The 17,122-nt window shown below is 42.3% G+C and overlaps 4 long non-coding RNA genes across 7 annotated transcripts in view, besides 1 other annotated feature; 1 reads left to right on the top strand and 3 right to left on the bottom strand.

Moving 5' to 3' along the window:
• The window catches only part of LOC105376360 (uncharacterized), a 432,070-nt gene that overhangs the window by 251,467 nt on the left and 163,481 nt on the right, over nt 1–17,122 (bottom strand). The gene's annotated exons all lie outside the window — the stretch shown is intronic.
• Nucleotides 1–17,122, top strand: part of LINC02669 (long intergenic non-protein coding RNA 2669) — a 69,327-nt gene that overhangs the window by 3,541 nt on the left and 48,664 nt on the right. The window contains exons 2-5 of one of the 4 annotated variants that reach the window (NR_155744.1): nt 64–114; nt 1,574–1,645; nt 2,700–3,145; nt 12,288–12,667. This is a non-coding gene — a long non-coding RNA (long intergenic non-protein coding RNA 2669). Of the gene's footprint in view, nt 1–63; nt 115–1,573; nt 1,646–2,699; nt 3,354–12,287; nt 12,668–17,122 lie in introns of those variants that run through there. The other 3 variants (NR_155746.1, NR_155745.1, NR_155743.1) reach the window with 3 other exon arrangements.
• LOC124902538 (uncharacterized) overlaps nt 1–17,122 on the bottom strand; it is a 51,559-nt gene that overhangs the window by 1,895 nt on the left and 32,542 nt on the right. The gene's annotated exons all lie outside the window — the stretch shown is intronic.
• Nucleotides 7,656–15,751, bottom strand: LOC107984192 (uncharacterized). The gene is made up of 2 exons (XR_001747329.1): nt 13,815–15,751; nt 7,656–13,477 (listed from the first exon to the last, which is right to left on the bottom strand). It is a non-coding gene; the product is annotated as an uncharacterized LOC107984192 (long non-coding RNA).
• Nucleotides 12,090–13,289: an enhancer, noted in NCBI's record as "BRD4-independent group 4 enhancer chr10:3528201-3529400 (GRCh37/hg19 assembly coordinates)". NCBI's record gives its function as "activates an origin of replication core promoter dependent on BRD2, P300/CBP, MED14 and CDK7 cofactors, and independent of BRD4, by STARR-seq in HCT116 cells {active_cell/tissue: HCT116}" and the evidence as "EXISTENCE:reporter gene assay evidence [ECO:0000049][PMID:35650434]".

Genomic DNA, 17,122 nt, shown 5'->3' with positions numbered 1-17,122 from the left:
GGGGCTATTTATGGAAAAAGCTACTCTAAACATTTTCACCAGTATCTTTTCTCTTGGTACTAGGCACTCTTTTCTCATGGGTACATTCAGAGAAGAGGAATGTTTGTTCACTGGGTAAGCCTAAATTCCTTTTAGTAGATACTGCAAATAGTTCCACAAAGTACCCTTTCCAGGTAGATGAGGCTCTGGCCAGAGTTAATGAGAGCTCTTCTTTGTCGACACTTTTAATTGTCAGATTTTTTTTGTTTGTTTTTTGCTTTTTTTGTGCCATTTTGGCAGGTGTGCTGTCTCATTTTCATTCATTCACTGTCATTTTAATTTGTACTCAGATGATCCTTGGTGCCCACCATTCAGAGCACTTATTTGGAGGATGTGTGTGTAGTGAAGTTTTCAGCCCATTTTGCCTTCAATTGAATGTTCTTTTCCTATTAGTTTGTAGTAGTTCTTCATATATATATTCTATGTGTGAACCTTTGTTGAATATATATACCATAATTATCTTCTATACTGTGGTTTGCCTTTTGATTCTCTTAATGGTATATTCTGTAACACAGAGTTCTAGTTTAAAGCACTAGTTTTCAGTCTTTTTTTCTTCTGTGGTAAGTCCTCTGTGTATATGTTTATTGTTTTAGAAATCTTTGATTTCTTCAAGGTCTTCTCAGTATTTTTTCATGACCGCTTTTAGAAAAGATTTTTGATTTTTCTTATTTCAATACAAAACACCTGGAACGATTTTTGTTTATTGTGTGAGGTAGAGATCAAAGGCTTTTTAAAAATATGGATATATAATGGAAACAATCCATACTTATAAGAAAGATTGCTTTCCCTCAATGCATAGCAAAGAGTTTTTTTTCCCCTCTTCTTTCTTTCCCCACGAATCATGTGAATAGTAAGCGTGGGTTTTCTTCTGCACTCTATTCTATGACACTGACCTATTTGTCTATTCTCACACCAATCAGCACTATGCCATTTTCATTGCTGCAGCTTTAACAAGGTTTGAGATCTGAGAGTAAAAGACCTCTAAGCTTGTTTTATATTCTCAATTTGTCTTCATTATTTTTTATCCTTTTTGTTTTCATACACATTTTAGGATCAGCTTTTCAATTTGTAAAATAGAAGGGCTGAGATTATGAGAGGAGTTACACTGAATTTTTAAATCAATTTAGGAGAATAAACTTAATTACAATATTGATTCTTAGAATCCTTCAATAATGTATGCTGTTTATTTTCTTAAGACTTCTTGAATATCTCTCAGTAATGTTTACAGTTTTCTGTGTAAAAGACTCTTGCACACATGACTTTTATTCCTAGAAATTTTATTTTTTCTGCTACTGTAAAAGTTTTCACTTTAAATAAAATTTTTACACAGTTCATTAAAGTATATGGAAACACACCTGATTTCTCACATTAGCCTTTCATCGGTAATGCTGTTAAACTCACTGACTTATTCTAATAGTTGATCTGTATATCCGAATATATTTTCTATCTACACAATCATGCTGATAATGCAAAATGACAGTTTTACTTTATCTTTCCAATTCTCACGACTTTTCCTTTGTTTGCCTTATTGCAGTGAAGAGAACATCCCGTGTACTATCGTGTAGAAGTTGTAGTAGACGCTGTGGTCTTTCCAACAACAAACAAAGTAAGTTTTCGAAGTTTTATTATCAAGTATGATAACCTCTGTAGGGTTTTCTTGAGATACCCTTTTTCAGATAAACAAAACCTCTCTCTGTAGTTTGCTACCAATTTTATTTTGAATGGGTGTTGAAAATATCAAGTGCTCATTTTGTGTCTACTGAGATGCTCCTGTGAGTTTTAATGGTAATATAATAAATCACATTGTTTGAATTTTAAATCTTGGCACACATTTATAGAATAAACCCAACTTGGTTGTAATGTATAATTCTTTTTGTATGCCACAGATTTGGTTTGTTAATATTTCGTCTAGGAGTTTTGTATCTCTGCTTATGAGAATAATCTGCCCGTAATTTTCCTATCTTACAATGTCTTTGTGAAGTTTTGTTATTAAGATTGCGCTGGCCTCATGCAGAGAGTCCGAAGCGTTCCTGCCTTTGCCATTTTCTGGTTGAGTTCATGGATGGTTAGTGTCAGCTCTCCCTGCAGTGTTTTTAGTGATTGAATGATTCAGTCCTCTGGACTTGACTTTTCTTATTGAGAATGTTTCAAATTACAAGTTCAATTCCATCCATAAAAATGGAGTTATAAAGATTTTGTACTTCTTGTTTTAGTTCTGGAATTAGTGGTATTTTTCAAGGAATGTGCTCATGCCATCTAACATTTCAAATTGATTTGCAAAACAATGGTCATGATACTCTCTGCTTCCTAACCCAAAGAACCTGCAAAAATGTTCTTTTACCTGGTAAAAGGAACTTGGCAGAGATGACTAAATCAAGGATCCAGTCACGCTAATATCTCACAAATAAGTATCTCTGTTCCACCCCTCTTCCCTGAGCTTGAGACCCTCAACACCCCAGCACAGCACTGCTAACCAAGTGCCTTACAATCTTGGATGTTCCACAGGGAGGAACCAAACCTTTGAGCCTCTACGCATCTCCCTCTCCTTCCTTTCCTGGATTCCTCTATCTCAATCAAATCATTACTCAGGTCCTTAAACTACACCTGCGTTCATTTTAGTTATCTGTTTAACATTTACTGGCTTCACATTATTTCCTCAGAAAAAGGAAAAAAAAAGTGAATTTCTTGCCCAGATCTGCAACAACTTCTAAGATCTGACCTGTAGCCACCCACACCTGGAAGCTCCAGCCTTGCCTCTCCCCAGTTCACCCAGTAAGCGCTGGACACGGGGCTGAGCTGGGACTTCGATGCTTACTCTGCCTGGAAACCTCCTTTCTCTCTCCCCACTTCTGAGGCTCCGCTCAGGTGCTGTTTTACCTGAAACCCTCCAGGCTGTTCTCTCTGGAAATGCCTCTCTCTTCTGCCCTTTATCTTCCACCTGAATGGGAGGATGTCTCATTCCTAACACTCAGGACAGGTCTTCATAGCGTTTATCCTGCTTTGTCATCTGCATGCCCCACAGGGCTGAGAGCTCCAAGGAGCTGTGAATCACACCTCCGACTCCCCCCAGGGTACAGGAACGGGGTTCAGAATGCTCTTCCCAAAGGTGAGATACAACATGAAGAGTGGTTATTTCTGGGTTATGGGATGAAGAGTAATTTTTTTGTTTTCTTTATTAGACGTTACTAAATGAACCTGCTTGGTGTTAACCACATGTGGCTTTTATAATCAGAGAAATAAAACAAAACTGACAGTAAAAATACATAGAAGAAGGATTATGTAAAATTTATAATTAAAAATTTGTTGATTTTAAATGATGGTGCTTAGAGGGTATTACCTTTGTCTTCAAATTGGAAAGCCTCAGCTGTCCGGGGTAATGATTTGCCCAAACACTCCATTTAATTCGAGTTTTACTGTCTGTATTTTGTAACAATAAGATTATTGCTTCTATACCCTACACATGCGCAGAGAGATAAAGGAAGGGTATGTTCTTTTAACTTCTTTTCTAATCTTGGGTCCAAGTCAAGGGATTTTATTTCTAATGCTTGGTCTTTACAATTTTTCTTTTTTCTCATTTCTCCTTGATTTTCCAAAAGGGAAAAGGGGAAACTCTTGGGTTTTGGTTTCAGCATTATTCCCAAAAGACTTCAAATTAATTTACAGGACTCTGGGTTGAGCGCAGTTGCCTTTCTGGCCTGAGGGTGTAAACTTTTTCTTAGGCAAATTCCCTGCTGAGTTCCCAAAATAGCAGAGAGTAAATGTAGTCCCACGTGTTTTGAGTCTAAACAGATGTATGTATGTGGATTTGTAAGTGAGTCACATCTATACTGTTCTTTTACTCGAGAGTAATTGGGCCAGGCACTGTGGCTCACGGCTGTAATCCCAGCATTTTAGGAGGCCAAGGCGAGAGGATCACCCGAGGTCAGGAGGTTGAGATCAGCCTGGCCAACATGGTGAAATCCCTTCTCTACTAAAAATACAAAAATTAGCCTGGTGTGGTGGCGCGCACCTGTAGTCCCAGCTCCTTTAGGAGGTGGAGGCAGGATAATTGCTTGAACCAGGGTGATGGAGGTTGCAGTGAGCTGAGATCGTGCTACTCACTCCAGCCTGGGTGACAGAGCTAGACTCCGTCTCAAAAAATAAATAATACAAATAAGTAAGTAGCGTAATCGGCAGAGTATTAAGGAGTCATTCTCCTGCCAGCCACGCTGAATGCACACACCCTGATGGCAGTGAACAGCGTCCACTGGATGTGAGCTTAGTGCTGAGGACCAGCACGCCTTTGCTAATGTCCTCAAAGGGAAGGCCCCTGAGGCTCGGAGAGCTGATGCCCTGCCTGGGGTCTCAGGCTTATGCCGCTGGGATGTCTCTGCTCTCCTCTGTCTCGTGACCACCATGGCGCAGGCTCTCTCTGCATCTTTCCCATCCTCCCCACCTTCCCCCTACAGTTGCCCTCAAGCTTCAGTTCCTAAAGTAGAAAAGAAATAAAAATAAAGCGAAACCAGTACGATGACTCACTGGTGAGCCAAGTATAATTTTCCTTTAATACCGCACAGCATATAAGGCTAATTTTGAGACAGCTCGCTTTCCCCCATGGAATAGCCAGATAAAGTCACTTTCTTGAGGAAACACAGCTGCTTCTAAAGAGAGGAAGAAATGACTTTCTCTGTGGTGATCGCCCGTTTGGAATGTCCCAAGGCTACATTCAGTGCCCCCTTCGCCACTTCCTCCACCTGGGAGCACCGCAGGAGTCGGAATTCCAAGTGTGGTTCATCCACAGCCTCTTTCTCATGGCCTGAAACGTGCTTTTTACTGGAAAACACTCTGATACATCCTGAAGCTAAATGCTTCTTAGAATACACTGTGATGTAACACTGTGATGGAAATCATCCCGTAAAAGCCGAGTGAGGGCAAGCATTCCCCAGTCAGGCGGCGTGAGGCTTGCCTGACGTTCACGCACTTCTAACAAGAAAGGAGGTAGCTCACACTCAACGCCGTTACTTAAGTAAGGTTAATAGAACAGCAGACAGGAAAAAGCACAAAAACTTAGGAAGACACAGAGCCATGGGCTCCCCGCCAAACACCTTCGGTGATTGCAATACAGAAGACGGCACGTGGAATCTGCCCTTGACTCCTTGAAAATACGATGTGACCGAGTTTTCAGTGTTAACAGGAACCGAGACAAAAACGTTCACGTATTTTGTTATCATCTGTGCTCTGGGACATGAGTTATGTTCTTGAAAATTCTGAGTTTGGGCTACATTATTTTAAGAGAATTCACAATAAAACCTTATATAATTATTTGTTCTGTGATGGAAATGTTCAAAGAAATAATCTCTTCCTGGGTACAAAAGTGGACATTAGGATAGACCAGAAAGATTAGTCCTCTTTATATACAAAAACAGGTTTGGAGAGAGGATTGTCAAAGAGGTGGAGAGGCAGCCTCAGAGAGAGAGAGAGAACAACCTCAGATGAGTCATTCAAGTCTGCTAAACTTCAACTTACCCAAATGAAAATGAAGATAATGATACCTGTTCTTATAAGGTCAGGCAGGTATCATTGTTATGACAGCAAATGAGATGCTTCATCTGAAAGCGCTAACCAACCTTGAGACAGTATTTAATCCCACTGAAGACACCTCTGTTCATGAGCTTTGGTGCAGAAACTAGTTTTCAGAAACAAATCAGTTTAAAAAAAGTACTTAAAATGTATTTATATAGAGTTTATTTGCATTACATTCCTAGAAACAATGTTTGGTTTTGAAAAGAGCATAGATACACTATGTTTGGCTGTAATGTGATAATTGTGTTTCCAAGAAAGCTTATACTGTTAGAGATTATTTTATAAACTATTGATTCAGTGGGAAAAGTTTGGGAATGGCAGTTGGATGGTTTCAGATTTACAACTGAAAAGTTATTTTGCAGATAGGCATTTTAGTGAGTAGGTGAGTCAGTCATCGCAGATGTATAAAGGTTAGCCTACACATCACGGAGTGATTCTTTCATTTGAACGCACTGATGCTTCTCACACAGAGTGGCCTTTCCCTCCGCTTTCCACCAGCATCATCAATTTCCAGGCATCTCACGCATTCTAGATAATATTCTCACTCACTGTTACAATGTTGAATGCACAGAGCTACTCAAAGTGTCTGTATTGCCTGGACAATAACCCTGGGTAACAACCAATTACTGGCTTCTTGGGCAAATTCTGTTCCCAGGATAATCTACCTCTTTTTAGCCATTTAAAATAATATAACCTCTTGCTATAGAATTAATGTCTGTATTGACTTTCATTTCCATTTTTAAAATAAATTAAACTTCCCACAACCCATTTCCAGGTTAGACTGAATAGCAACAATGGTGATGATAATAATAGTAATAAAATGGATCTTACTTATTGAGAGCTTACTCTAATGCTTCAGTACCGTTCCAGTGTCACTGGTGAAAGTCATTTGGTGTTGCAGTATTTTACAGTGAACGAGCGCATCAGACAACCGCTTCTCCGTGGTTCAGCTGCAGCCTATATTCCCCGGGCTACTAAATTGTAGCCACAAACCAGGGATCCAAATAATAACAAGAAGACTCCTAATCTCTGAGTGTTTAACCTAGGTGAAACTCGCTAAATACTTTGTACATAGATTATCTTATTCAACCTGAACAACAAAAGCTAACAGATAGGTACAGTGATGCTCGTTTTATAGGTTAAAAACAGTAAGCTTCAGAAAGTTGAGTATCTCCTCTAGGATATTACAGCTAGGAGTGTATCAAATCATGATTTTAACCTAGGTACAGGCAACTTCAAGGTTTGAACTTTAAATCATGGCTTCATTTGAGGGGAACAAAAGAATTATTATAAATAATTTTATGTGTCTCAACATAGCAGAATGTTTAAATTTCTATTAAAGATAGACTACCTTACAAAGCGAGGTATAAATTATAAAACAAACAACTTTATTAGAGCCACACTCAGTGTGTCCATATCCTAAGCCATCATCTGCTTCCATGGAACATCTGTGAATTGGCAGAGCTGGACTAGCTGTCTGAACTCAACACAAGCTACAGACTTAAGTTTATAAAGAACTTGCGTATATATTTATACACACATATATGTATATATACACACACACATATATATATGTATATACATACACATATATACACATACACATATATTCAGAGGGAAAGTTAGGGCAGGAGGAACACTGTCCAGACAGATTTGGGGTCATGGAAAGAAAACTGTTTTCTGGCCCTTTGATTTTTAATATGTGTCTTTTTTTTTAACTTGTATTTTAGGTTCAAGGGTACATGTGCACATTGGTCATATAGGTAAATTGCATGTCAGAGTGGTTTGGCATATGGATTATTTCATCACCCAGGTAATCAGTATCCAATCAGTAGTTTTCTCTACTCTCCTTCCTCCCACCTCCACTCTCAAGTGGATTCTGATGTCTGTTGTTTCCTTCCCTGAGTCTCTGTGTACTCAACGTCCAGCTCCCACTTATAATTGAAAGCATGTGGTATTCGATTTTCTGTTCCTGTGTTAGTTTGCTTAGGATGATGGCCTCCAGCTCCACACACGTCACTGCAAAGGACATGATGTTGTTTTTTTTTTCTTTATGGCTGCATATTATTCTATGGTGTATATGAAACATTTAACCTTTGCCTGGATTCAAAAAGACTTCCGAATAAACGAAAGCCTTCCCCAACCCCTTGCCAACCATACCTCCTCAATTCAGAATAGAGACATAAAGCTCTTCTTTCTGCAGTCGCCAGGAGAAAATACTTTATGATCTAAAACCAGTGTTAAAGTTGTCTATATCTAATAACACTGTGGAGCAAATAAATTCATTTGCTTAATTAGGGGTATATCTGGTAACTTATTTATCTTCATCAAGGGTTCACTGGAAAACTACACTGCTTAAAAGTTGATCATGATGGAGATTATTTTGATATATGTTAATGCCTCCATGAGCAAATGCTATGGGCAGTTTTAAGATGTTCCAGATTAAATCATCACAGCCATACTCCTATAACAGTATTTATGGATCATAAACTATATGATTTATCTACAGTATCACGTATCTATACGATACCTGATTTATCACAGTACTAATTTCTTTACATATACTATCTCATTTGGATCTTACAACACCTTCAAATATATAGGCACTAATACCATTCTCAATTAATTGATGAAGCATTTGAGGCTTAAATAGGTAAATTGCCTTGAAATAAAAAACTACATTCATAACCAACTGGTTAAACTTCACCATTCAATTTTTACGGCCAATAACGTAGAACTTGGGGCTTAAACGAGCCAATTATTTGCAATTATTTGCATGAGGGTTATAGTGATCAACACCTACCTTCTGTTTCACAGTGGGCAAGTCTATGCAAACCTGTCCCCAAAGTCCAAGGAGGCTGAGAGGCCAAAGAAAGAGGCTGGCAAATCCAGTCTCTTAAAAAGAAACATTTAACAGTGTCTTACAAACAGAAGCCACGTCTGTGTCTTAGGGGACTAGACAAGAGAATGGATCCCCGCCATTAGCCCCAGACCTGGAGCTCATGTACCAGGGAAAGGGTGGTTCAGAAGAGACATGCAGGACAACTGAAGTATGACAACATCACAGTTGTTTGACCTACAGGCAGGATTTATGCTAAGTGCCTGCTCTAACACAAGGAACAATCGATAAACTGAAAATCTTGGAGGCCTTCCTGGAACTGGGGTTCATCAAAGCCAACATGGGAGATTAGCTTCCAAGACAGAGTCTCTTGGCCTTAGTGGTGCTGCCTGCAGCATTCTAGCACCCACCTCCACATAAAAGCGAGAGGTGGTTCCCATTTATATCGGAGTCTTGGAAGGATCCATACATTTCATGCAGGGATGTCAGTCACGGCCAGCTGATACACTTATACAACATTACTGAGACCATAACTTTACAGTTTTTGTTCTTTCAATGTATCTCAAGGCCTGATTCTGAGAAATAATACTGCTGGGGAATTGTACAAATGATATGCATTTCATTCTTCTGTTCTTCACTGCATAAAAGAAACAAACTGTGAACTCGGACTTTATCTGCCTGACCCCAGATGGAGGAGCTTGTACTGCCTTGTCATTAGTGTTGGGCTCTTGACTTACATGGAGGGGTGCATTTCGACATGCCGCAGAAAGGTTTCCCAGGACGGGCAATCAGAGGAGGTTTGTCATCTGCTCATCACCCAGTATCTTCCTTATTAATAATACTCAAGAGGGAATTTTGTCTGAATACTTCAGAGCTGGTCGTGGGGATTGGGGGAGGTAAAAACAACAGAAAATAAAGTTTCATTCAAAAATTTAATCTGTATTTTTCAATGTTTTCTTCCTTTTTATTGATACATAATAATGGTACCTATTTATGGGGAACCTATGATATTTCGATACATACGTACAATGTGTAATGGTCAAATAGAGTAATTAGGACATCCATCACTGCAAACATTTGTCACTTTTTGTCATTATTTTTCAATGTTTTCTTCCACTTTACTGATACAAAACAATGGTACATATTTATGGGGAACCTGTGATATTTCGATACACACATACAATGTGTAATGGTAAACGAGGGTAATTAGGATATCCATCACTGCAAACATTTGTCATTTCTTTGTGTTGAGAGAACTTCTGTATTAGTCTGTTTTCATGCTGCTGATAAAGACATACCTGAGACTAGGTAATTTATAAAGAGAAAGAGGTTTAATGGACTCACAGTTCCACATGGTTGAGGAGGCCTCACAATCATGGTGGAAAGTGAAAGGCATGTCTTACATGGTGGCAGACAAGAGAGAATTGAAAACCAAGTGAAAAGGGTTTCCCCTTATAAAGCCATCAGATCTCACGAGACTTGTTCACTACCACAAGAACAGTATGGGGGAAACCACTCCCATGATTCAATTATCTCCCACTGGGTCCCTCCCACAACACATTGGAATTATGGAAGCTATAATTCCAGATGAGATTTGGGTGGGACACAGCCAAACCATATCAATTTCAAATCTCTTCTAGCTATTTTGAAATATACAATAAATTATTGCTAACTATAGTCATCCTATTGTATCATCAAACACTAGAACCTATTTCTTCATCTAACTGTATGTACCCATTAACCAACCTCTCCTTATCTCTCCACCCTTCCCAGCCTTCAGTTACCATCATCTATGCTCTGCCTTCATGAGGTCAACTTCTTTAGAGTCTACATATGAGTGAGAACATGCATGACCCGTCTTTCTGAGCCTGGCTTATTTCACTTAGCATAGGTCCTTCAGTTCCATCCTCACTACCGCAAATGACAAGATTCCCTTCCTTTTATGGCTGAATAGTATTCCACTGCGTATATGCACCACATTTTCTTTATCCATTCATCTGTTGATGGACACTTAGGTTGATTCCACGTCTTGGCTATTGTGAATAGTGCTATGATAAAATAAGTATTTCTCAAAAGGAGACATACACATGGCAAATACGAATATATTTAAAATGTTCAACATCACTAATCATCAAATACAAATCAAAAGCACAATGAGATACCATCTCACCCCAGTTAAAACAGCTATTATCAAAAGGACGAAAAAATCAATGCTGGCAAAGATGCCAAGAAAAGAAAACTCTTGTACACTGTTGATAGAAATGTAAGCTAGAACAGCCACTGTGAAAAACAGTATGGAGGTTCCTCAAGAAACTAAAAGTAGAACTCTGATCCAGCAATCCCACTTCTGAGTATGCACCCCAAGGAAAGGAAATCAGTGTGCCAAAGAGACACCTGCACCCCATATTTATGCAGCACTGATCACAATCGCCAAGATGTGGAATTAACCTGTACTTTTGTGAAAAATTGAATTATTTAAATGCTTCATTTTGCCTTTTCTTCTAGCCTCGTGCCAGCAACTTAAATCTATCAGCAATGGAGAATGCCTGGCATTGGCTTCTGCATGAGTGCCGTTTTAGTTGCTTTGTATTCTTCTACCTTGATTTTTTTTTCTGTTTTTCTACATGAGTGTTGCCTGCAGAGTTCCCTGATTGACTCAAAGTACATCTTCTATATTGCTTCAAGTAGTGCTGGTCATGAACACAATTCAGTCTTAGTCAGCTATTGGAACTGATTGACTGCAAAGTTCTGGTGCCTCTTCTCGCAGCCCAGGGCAGATGGACGTGCTATGTGGGGCCCGTACAAAACAGAATCATGGAGCTGGTGGGGCAAGGAGTCAACCTCCCTCCTAGGGCCTGCAGCCTCCACCAGGGCAGAGAGCAAGTTTCTCTCAGCTTCTGCTCTCAGGTGGTGACCTGGCAGGGAGGACAGCTTGGCAGTAGGTGCAGGCACTGGACGGGGACCTCCTGGCTCCTCTCCTAGCTCTTGCAGCACCAGCCATAAGGCACTCAGATCATGCAACTTCCCGGTGTCTCCGTCTCTGCATCTTTAAAATGGGGCTAATAAGAACACTTTTCTCATAGACTTATAAAGAGAATTAATTAAAAAAAATAATGCTTGGCTCAGAATGTACACTCCATGAACATCACCTGTTACCACTTAAGAAGGGTGCGTACCCTCCAGCCGCATCCATGCCAGTTCCCGTTGTCTCACCCTGGGCCAGCGACACCCATCTTAAGTCACAATTGAGAATACAAGCAAGACACGCTGAAATCTACCAGAATAAAGGTCCATCTTCACAGAACAAGCCTGTTTACACTTGAACCCACAGTTTTTCAGTCATATCCAGACTTCAAGGAGGGAAGAGGGCTCCACCGCAGGCTTCCTGTAGCAAGCATGGGGGCCATATCTGAGTCCCCTGTGGCGTTCTGTCACCATAGACTGTGACTTTCAAACAGCACAGTCACTTCTCACAGTGTTAAAGGTCAGAAGTCCCAGATCAAGGTTCTGGCAGATCTGGTATCTGGTGAGTATCTGCTTCCTGGGTCATAGATGGCGGCTTCTCACTGTGTCCTCACATGGTGGAAGGAGTGAGGAAGGAGTGAGGGAGCTCTCCAGGATCTCTTTCAAAAGGGCTCGAATCCCATTCATGGGGGGTCCACCTTTATGAGTTCATCATATCCTAAAGCCCCCACCTCCTAACACCATCACCTTGGGGGTGAGAATTTCAGCATGTGAATTAGGGGGAGACTCAAACATTTACACCACAAACAGGCAAAGAGCCTGCAGCTGCTAGTGAGGCCACGGCATCTCCCTCCTGACCAATCTCCTCTTCTGCAAATTGCAGCTGCTGGGACAGGACCCAGGAGGTTCCGGAGGATCAGGAGGTCCACCTGGGAGAAGAGCTGATCGGCTAGTAGGAGAGCTGGAAAAGCAACAGACACCTACTTAGTCCCTTCCCTGGGGCCCGGCTCCAGTCTGAGCTGTCACGCCACAGCAAAGGCATCACTTCAGGACAGCAAAGCCCCTGTCTCCCTCCCTTCCAGCTCCTCAGACTTCACCCTGGTAACACGTTTGTTTAAAAAACATATTTTTCCCCCTTGTAAAGAATCTAGGATACAAGGGGTCAGCCCAGCAGTTTAGGTATCAAGAAGAAACTGCTCTCGGAGCTAAAGTAAGAAACAGTGCCTGTCTATAGCGCAAATAAAGAGTTGGAACAAGATAAAAGGCAGTGATCCTTCACCAGCCAATCTCCAGGTGGATCTCAGGAATCCTGTGTGATGTGTGACATCATCTGGGAAAGCCCCGCAGTTGCCATGGAGACGCACCTCCCAGGCCTCGGGAAGCTGCCCCACCTCTCTGCCACCTTCTTCCAGACTGGTCATGGCAGGCTGGCTCTGATCTGGGTCCCAGACAGAGGGGAATTGGTTTGCCTTTTTTCTTTTCTTTTCTTCTTTTTTTTCTTTTCTTTTCTTTGTAAACTGCAATGACCGTGTGTGTGTGTGTGTTTGTGTGTGTGTGTCTGTGTATGCATATATATAAAGAAAGAGAGAGAAAAAAAAACAGAGTGCCCCACGACGCAAGGTGCCCACCTTGACAAATACACTGTGGGCAGACAATAAACCCTTATGAGGTTCTGGAGTGGCAGCAGCAATGGCCTCCTGCCCTCCTGGCGGGCTGGAGCCTCCTCCTGGCAGGTGGGGTAGGGTTGAAACATCAGAAATGCCGAGAAATGTCTCGGTGCAGCCTGATTACAGAGACACTTGTGATCCATGATTTCTGCTGCTCCACTGCTGAAAAAAAGAAAAAGGCCTGGAGTGCCTCATCCGCTGTGGTTTCTCTCCCATTTAAGTAAAATTGGAAACTTTTTTAAAAAGAAAGCACAATCATGTAATTAGTGCAGGCTCTCTTTTCTGGTTTTTTGAAAAGAGGCATTTTCACACACACCTTAGTCCATCTTAAACCCTTTCAACGTTCTGCATGCTCTTCCTAATTCCAGAGAGACAGAATTTTTATTTCCTTCGATCGCAGGGATACCTACAATGGAATTTACGTCTCAATTAACAGTTTGACCAAGGGTTTACAAGTGGTTGAATGGAGTACAAATGAAGAATTCGAAGAAACGCAAAGAGAGAAAGTGGACCGCCCATAGACACCTGCTCTATGCAAACAATGGACTCCTTCCCTTTATCTTAAGGGGTCTTACGCTACCTGTTTCTACGTCCTTTGCTGGTTCCCATGACAGAAATACACACGTTTCAGACAAGATTAAAATACAAAATCCCAACCATAGCCTCATCTTTGCACACACACTCTCTCATTTCCTGTTGGTACCAGCACTTTTCTATTTCGGTCCTGGGTATGGCTCACTAACCTACAGCAGCTTCCTCATTTGCACTTGACGTCTTCCCAAACAGCATTTAAGGGACGGAGCACAGCCCAGAAGGCAGAAGCGAAGGACAACTGCCAACCCCAAGGGGGAGCAGAGATCTGGGAAGGAAGACACTCATGGTAAAGGTAAAACCAAAGAAATCACACGCCTAGGAAATAACAGATTCTTCTGCATAAAATAGACTTGTGAGAAACTAATTGCTACAGATTTTATCTCGCCCAAAATAAACCGCAGGGAAGATATCATGAGCATACTGTAACGCATAAAATCTTGACACTCGTGCTAAAATACTCAAAATATACCCTGGAAGGTTGGAGCTTGTCTTCAGTGTTGGGTTCTGCAAATTATTTCAAACAGCTCGCCATATTTGTGGTATCACATTGAACCGGGTGTGAGAGGCGGGGAAGAAACAAAGTAGACACAGCTCTTCCTTGGAGATGTCTATCCCAGAAGGCGGTTTCCGAACAGCCCAGGAGAGAGGAAAGCTCCATTTCAGAGATGCAGACATGTTGGCCAGGACCGCGGAGGGAGGTGGCCAAAGGACCCCCTTCTCAGAGGCAGGGACTTGGAATTTCTGCCCCACGGCCTCTGGGAGAGTGGAGGCTGCTCTCGGGCAATTATCCCAAATGATTGTTTATCACTCCCAGTTCCAGAAGGCCTGGAAAGATTACATTCCAGAGACTTGATCACTGAAAATGCCCGGGTGGAAGCTGTAATTACGGCTTTCTCAGAGCCTACAGCATCTCCCCTGGGATTATTTGCATAAAGTCATTTCCTGTGGCAATTGCTGAACACAACAGTGCCCTCACTGTCATCCTACAGGCCATGAAGAGGGCTGCCTAGGCGAGTGTTTCAGCATAAATGTGTGCTCAGCAACCTCTGTGCGGCTGCCTCTTTGTAAAAATAAACATGCGGTGGAGTTTCTCTGTCCCCCGTCAAGCCCTGCAGTTAATTATAGGATATCTGGAGTCGTCAAGCATTCCCATGGAGCATGGAGGGAGGTGACTTTACAACTAGCAGGTTTCCATCAGAAGGTGACGGCAGTGACAGTGGAGCTCAGACTGGACTGGCGCTCCCCTTACTAGAAACCAGAGGGAGAGGAAATCAAGAGCCAGGGCGGGGTGAATTTCAAACAGCCCAGGGCTGGAGCCGGAACGGGAACCCCAGCTCCACCTCATCAGGGCCAAATAACCAGCTGCTATGAGGGGGCAACATGCTATCGGGATAAAGCATATGAAACCATAGAACCTTCAACAATAGGGCGTGAAGAAAAAAACAGAAAAATAAGGCCACACGGGCCCAGAAGGAATGCATTGCTCAGTGGCCCCAACAGAGAAAGTGGAACCACGTGAGATATTTCCATAAAACTCAGTCTGCACTCTCAACCCCATGGTGGAAGTCACAGGGACTACCCTTGAAGAGGCTCTGTACATCCTACAGGAGCCTGCAGAGAAAAAGGCAAGCAGCTGGGAAAGAACTGGATGCAGGGGCTTGGTGGGGACAATGTCCCCCTTCTACTCACAGCGGAGTGGGTCGGGAGGAGAGCCCTGTGGTGAGATCCCGATAGGCAGAGGCCGCGCTTCCTGATGCCTTCCTGAGGAGGAGTTCAGGAGCTTTCTCTCACTTCTCTTCTCTGAACAATGCCATGCCTGTCATGCTGTAGCTCCCTGTTCCAAACCACATGCACATGTATACATGCCTATACACACATATGTGGACACATGCAGACGTACACGTACAGGCAGCCACACACATGCATACATGCCTATACACACATGTATGTGTACACAGAGATGTACACATACAGACAGGCACACACATGCTTATATAGGTGCGTACATGCATGCACACATTGTACGTGTGTACACATAGGCATGTGCACACATACATGCACATGTTAACACACATATAGACATGTACTTTCTTGCACACAAACCTACATACACATAAAGATTTACACGTGCACATGCATGTGCACATATGCAAACACAGGCACAGGTACATGTACCATACAGGCATCCACATACACATGTGTACACATACCACATGGGCATGTAGACATACATACACAGAACATTCAAATTGGCTTTTTTTTTGAGAGAGGGTCTTGCTCTGTCACCCAGGCTGGAGCACAGTGACATGATCATGGCTCACTGCTCCTCGACCTTCTGGGCTCGAGCAACCCTCCACCTCAGCCTCCTGAGTAGCTGGGACCACAGGCAGGCACCACCACCCCTGCCTAATCTTTTCAAATTTAATAGAGACAAGGTCTTAACCTAGGTCTCACTATGATGCCTGGGCTGGTCTGGAACTCCTGTGCTCCATTGATCCTCCTGCCTTGGCCTCCCAAAGTGCTGGGATTATAGGTGTGAGCCACCATGCCCAGCTGACTTATTCTTCATATTAACTTTACTTACACTACTAATTGTTTGCTTAAACGTCAGTCTGCCTCCTAATTTCCAATCTTATAGGCAAGGATGATGACCTAACACCCATCATAAATGACCCATGAAAACTTTGAGCTGCTAGATTCACCTTGACTTTTATCTTCAGCCACTTTGCCATGGGAGCCCCTTAGATGACCCTAGAGGATCTCAAACAAATGCTTCCCAAGAATGCACTCCAATAAAGTACAGAATGCCACTGTTTCCCAGGCAAGGACTGACGCCAGTGTGTGTCCAGCCATGCACAGGAAAGTAACAATGCAATCTTACACACTTTCATTTGTCATAGTGCATGATTTCTTTAAAAGGAAATACCTAAAACACTCAGACTTAGCCTTCAAGGGAGCATCACCTAGGAAAGGTTTTCTCCCCTCTCCTGACTGTGGCACAAAACGAAGAATCTCCAATGTGCACGGGGACACTTTAATGAGATTTCCGTGACATCACTCTCTTTCTTCCCGTGCCTGATGATTCACGGCAGGCTTTTCAGGTTTCTTTGGTGCAATGGTCCAATTACAAACTTTATGCAAAAACGGTGTCAGGTTACAACATGTTGCAGAAGCACACGGGCAGGACATGGGCAGATTCGTTTCTGATGGATGTTTTGCGGTGACTAAGAAGCAGCTCCCAAGAGTGAAATGTTCTCCACACGTCTCAGAACCACCGGTGGCACCTCGGCCTCTGTCACAGCAGCATCGCTGCCCACGCCAGTTGCCCATGCAAACTTTGCAGGGCAAGTGGCTGCATCCGCTGGCTCTCCTATTCCGTGCACCACTGCCCTCCTCTACACACAGGGAGATGGCAGATCACTTTTCCTCTTTCCCATCTTTGTGAGATGAGAAAGTT

This window comes from Homo sapiens, chromosome 10, assembly GCF_000001405.40.
Source record: "Homo sapiens chromosome 10, GRCh38.p14 Primary Assembly".
Lineage (NCBI taxonomy): Eukaryota > Metazoa > Chordata > Mammalia > Primates > Hominidae > Homo > Homo sapiens.
The sequence above is the reverse complement of the archived record's forward strand: the minus strand, read 5'-3'. Positions and strand labels throughout refer to the sequence as shown.